The sequence below is a fragment of the Homo sapiens genome, chromosome X (assembly GCF_000001405.40).
Source record: "Homo sapiens chromosome X, GRCh38.p14 Primary Assembly".
In the NCBI taxonomy this organism is placed as follows: Eukaryota; Metazoa; Chordata; class Mammalia; order Primates; family Hominidae; genus Homo; species Homo sapiens.
This window is the reverse complement of record NC_000023.11, coordinates 145,660,481-145,666,161: the sequence shown is the minus strand read 5'-3', so window position 1 is coordinate 145,666,161 and position 5,681 is coordinate 145,660,481.

Below are 5,681 nucleotides of genomic sequence, written 5' to 3'. Positions count from 1 at the left end.
GTTTAGTTCCTCATGCAAATATGCACACAAGCCAAATTGAGATTAATTTTGGGAGGAAAGAGAATGGAGAAGACTCTTTATAATGTACCTAGGAATTAAAATTAGGATCCTAAACAGCAGCTTCCTAGGAGGAACAAACAAACAAACAGACAAACAAAAACAGATAAGACCAATTCCTGTAAACTGTCCTTAGCCACTTTTAACTTTGTAGCTCTCTTACACCATTACACATGCTGAGGTCAAATCCTCTCACAGTACAAGATAATCTCTGGTACCCCAAAAAACCAAAGAGTTCATGTAATGCAGTACAAGAGAGCAGAACTTTAGACCTAAGAATCTGCCCATGACTCTTGAAACCCCGCAAAGAAAACAGAACACCCCAAGAAGATGTGAGTGGTGCCTTAGTTCTGAGTTCTTAAAGGGGTTAGAGTCATTAGAAATCTTCTCTAGATTTATCTTGGTACTGAAAATGGCAAAGGGGAAAGGAGGAATTGAGTGGAAGAATAGTAAACTAAATAAGAATTTTTTTTAAAGACAGGAATCAAACGCAGAAACCAAGCTCATGGTTTTGTTTTGTTTTTCTCAGAGAGGACTTGTTTCTCATAATTTGGAATTCTCATTCAGATTAGACCAAGTCAGGTACAGTTGGTCAAGTCTGACAGGAGAAAGGCCAGAAACAACAACAACAACAACAACAACAACAACAACCCAACAACTGAGCACTGTAATGGTAAGGAGAAATTAAGACCGGCTGGCTTTAATTGTAACTTTAGCCAAGATGAAACCACAATTTAGCTACTTACCTAGGGATAGGTCTCAGGCTGAAGACTGCTCTCTACCATCCTAGACGCAGGAAAAAACTCACATTGCCTGTCAGAAGTGAACTCAAACTCCAGAATGGAGTTACCTGCCTTCCATCGTCATGGAAGCAGGAAAACGCCTTCCTTGTTGGAAGCAAGTAAATGGCAGAAAAATAAGTTGTTCAGAAAAATTAACTTTAGATCTTGACCAAATTTTGGGAGATCAGGGATTCTCTGGAGCGGGGGCTCCCAGGCGTCAGCCAAATGTCCTATTTGTTTGACCCATGAAGATATCTCAAGCTGGTACCAAGCACCGATGATTTGTCAAAGATCAGGGCCACCTTCACTCAGAGTCCCTTCATGGTCACCAAATGTGAACCCCAAATATCTGAGACAGGTCTCAGTTAATTTAGAAAGTTTATTTTACCAAGGTTAAGGATGTGCAGGTATGATGCAGCCTCAGGAGGTCCTGGTGACATGTGCCCAAGGTGATTGGAGCACAGCTTGGCTTTATACATTTTAGAGAGATATGAGACGTCAATCAACATGTGCAAAATGTACAACGGTTTGGTCCAGAAAGGTAGGAAACTCAAAGCAGGGAGGGGGCTTCCAAGTCACAGGTAGATAAGAGACAAATTGTTGCATTCTTTTGAGTCTTTTACTAGCTTTTCCAAAGGAAGCAATCAGAGATGCATTTATCTCAGTGAGCAGATGGATGACTTTGAGTTTTGTCTGTCCTTTGTCTACAAGGAATTTCCTTATGGATAAATTGTGTGTGAGATATGTAGCTTTTTTTTTTTTATCTTAGTAGCTATTTATTTTAGGAATAGAATGGAAGGCAGGTTTGCCCTAAGCAGTTCCCAGCTTGACTGTTCCTTTCGGCTTTCTAATCTGGGGGTCCTGAGATTGATTTTCCTTTCACAAATCTATTTCATGGTCGCAGAGAGTAGAATGGTGGTTACCAGGGGCCAGGGGAGATGTTAGTCAAAGGGTACACAGTTTTAGTTATAAGATGAGTAAATTCTGGGGTTCTAATCTACAGGATGGTGACTATAGTTAACAAAACTGTGTTGTACACTTGAAATTTACTAAGACAGTAGATCTTAAATGTTCTTACCACACACACACAAACACAATAACAGCTATGTAAGGTGATGGTTGTGTTAATTAGCTTGACTGTGGCAATCATTTCACAATGTGTACATACATCAAATCCTCCTGTTGTACACTTAAAATACATACGATTTTACTTGTCAATTATACTTCGGTAAAACTGGAAAAATAAATAAATATACATAGTGCACTCTTTCTAAACTACATGAGACATGTTTCAGTGGGTATGTAGTGAAAAACATTAGTGTTTTAAATCCAATTCCTATCCTATTTACTAGCAGCAGCAGCCACTTCTCATTTATAGAGTTTGTTTTATATAGGAGCTCAATAAATACTAGCGATTGTTTTTGGTTACTCTATTATGTAAGTTGATATTAGCTTTGGTAATAAACAAATCCAAAAATATACAAGGACTCAAACCTTATAGGAGCCTTTTTTCTCACACACAAATTTCAAAATGAATGTTCCTGATCAGCAAGTGGTTCTCTGTCAGTTGGTGATTCACGGTCCTAGAATATCTCGATCTCATGGAGGCTCCATCTTCAATACATGGTTTTCGAGGTCATCAGGCCCCTCTACTTCAACCAAGAGAAAGATCTTAGAGAATCAAGTATGAACAGTTTTATGAATCAGTCCTGTAAGGATTGCACATGACTGCCTCTCATAATCAGTTGGCTAGTATTCAGTCATATTACTACAATTTACTCCACGGGAAGCTGGGAAATGTAGGAAAAAGAAAAAATACAGTGGTAGAGACTGGTGAAGAACTGGCCAGTCTCTACCACAGAAACAAGTAAATCTAGTTTATTCTACTCCGAATATCTCACTGAACAAAACACTATGTGGTATCAAGTCTATGTATTTATTTTTAATAAGTATTAGCAGCATCACAACTTTTCTAGATGCCATAATTTCATATTTGTATACAAGTTTAAAGAAAAGAGGATTTGATGCAAACTTCCTCTCTTGCTTTTGTCGTTGGTGATTTTCAATACTTTCTTTCTGATTTATCTGTCTCTCATCATTTTCTGTCTAATGGCACTATGGTTTGCATAGTCTATTGTGTGAGTTGAAACACTAATGATAAAACAAAACTTGAGAAACAATCTAGGCATGTAGAATCAGAAACAAGTTGTAAATCAGTACTGGTCGACAAGTGCAAAGAGAACAGGTGATATGTCAGAAGCCTCGTTAGACAGATAGAAATTAAGAGTTCTCAAGTACTGAGGGTGACGAAAACTGGGCATCATATCTCACAACAATCATTGGAGATCAGGGTATTGGTATGGACCACTGGATGTCTCAGGGGTAGAGCCAGAGCAGTGTTATTTTTATAATGCAAAAGAAAAACACATAGCTAGAAAGATTAGCAGATTTGTTAGTATTCTGCCAACTAGTCTATTCCAAGAATTCCAGATAAGGACAGGAAAAGAATGGTGATGGATTGTGTGAGGAAAAATACAGACTCAGGCTGCCTGCTGTTGCTACCTGGAGTTCTTTGGGTTTCAGGATCTACCTTCAACTCTGAACCCCTTACTCTTTCCAAGCAGAGACAAAACATGCATTCACTTATCTGACACACAGACTGTGCATTACTCAGGACTTGTTTTTATTCCAACAGGCAACAAACAAGAATTCCTTCTTGAGAGAGGAGCCTGGCCCTAGTTTTAGGACAGCCTTGTGATTTCCTTAATGTTGGTGAGTCACATTTACTTTCTCATTTATCCTCAATGATTCTTTACCCATTGATTTTCTCACTGGTTCCGTGCCTCTCATGCTTGCTTCCCTGCTTGCCCTCAGTTGTAGTGTGTTCAGAACCTACATGACTGGCTGCAGACTTCTATTTACCTTGTCATCATATTACTCTGGGCTCTGGCAACACAGATAATAGTAAGAAATAAGGTAACATGATAAACAGTATCTAATAGGAAGAACCAGGCAATATAATGCCAAGTTTAAGGCAATTAAGCTGAAAAGAGATGGCCTCAATAGGTGAAATTATTTAACTCTTGATAGTATTGTGTGTGTGTATTTATTCATCTTTTTGGCAGTAAGGATACCCACACAGGAGAAATATTATTTTTTGCAACAAGAGTTTAGAAGACAGAACCCAATGTTTCCCCAGAACTGCTGTCTGTTTTTACCAATACTAGAGAAAAGATAATAAAGTGCTTTTCGTTCGTTCTCTCTTTGCACTGCTATTTTTATTGCATATTTGATTCTGGTAGCGACAAGGTGAGCACTAAATTCTCATATCTTAATGTGTTCTAACTGAAGAAAGAAAAGGTGGTGAACATAATAAGTGGTCAAAAATTGATTGAATTAAAGTGTTTGGAAAAGAAGGTGAAGGAAGAAAGGAAGTGAGGACACATCTATTGACTGTGTCCTACAACTGCTGTGATAACACATTTATTTAAGGCTCACCATGTTTCAGGCATTGTGACAAAAATTAGTTTTACGTAGATTATAATTTATTTACCCTCAAAAAAGCCTTAGAGTAAATCATGTCCTTATCCTTATTTTATAGATGAAGAAACGGAGGCAAAGATAATTTAAATGACCTAAGTGTCATAAATTAATAAGTGGTACAGAGGATACTGGAACACAAATATGCTCTTGCCTTCAACAATTCTATTATAATTTGTTGTATGCCAGGCTGAGGCTCCCATGAGGTTAAGTAATTTCTTCAAAGTCACATAGCTAGTTAATTGTCGTTCCTGGAATCAAGTTCATGAAATAAGATCAAAGTGTCACAAAAAATGTCTGGAATAACAATGGGCAGGTAACATAAGTCTCTATTTCAGAAGCAGTTCAAGTACATATATAAGAATTTATTTTATCTGTTTTATCTACCATTGTCTACAGCCCAGACCTCTCATGTAAGCTAAAAACCTACATATGCAACTACCTAATTGATTTCTCCTCAAAACCTACTTCTCACAGTCTTGCCCATTTCAGCAAATGACATCCCCCTCTCTCCCGCCCCCATATTACTCGTGCTAGAAGCCTGAGAAGTAGCTCTGACACCACCTTCTCCCTGCATCCACCTCTTTAAAATCTGAATTTTCAAGATATTATAGATGGGCTTTAGGGGAGAGGCATAATCCCTTGAGATCATTAGCATGTTAGATCTTCAGTTATTTGATTACTTGCATTTCTCGTTGACATAAAAGATTCAAAGAGTCAAACCTGCAGCTGTTCCTCCACACCTCTGTTTTAACCGAGGCAGCTGATAATGCATTCTGTATACTTTAACCATGGTAAAATTTTAAAACACCAATCGGATTATAACAGTATTCTGCTTAAAACTCTTAAAAGACTCCCCATTGCCTTTAATGTACTGTAAAACTTGCTCAACCCAAAGGCCAGACCTTGAATGATTAGGAACCTGCAAGTCTTATCAGTCTCATCTTGTTCTACTCACTCCCTTGCTTCTTTTCTCTTTCTCTGTCCAAATACTTCGACTTCTCTGAGTTATTAGATCACATTTGAAGGATTTCTTGCCTCAGGGCCTTTGCATATGCTGTTCAATATGCTTGGAATTGTCCCCTCACTCTACCCTACTTTTACCTTGCTAAATCCTAATTCATTCTTTAGTCACCAACTTTAATATCACTTTCATTGGGAGGTGTCTTAGTCTGTGTCTTAGTCTGTTCTCACACTGCTATAAGGAACTACTTAAGACAGGGTACTTTATGAAGAAAAAAGGTTTACTTGGCTCATCCTTCCACAGACTGTGTAGGAAGCATGGCTGGGGAGTCCTCAGGA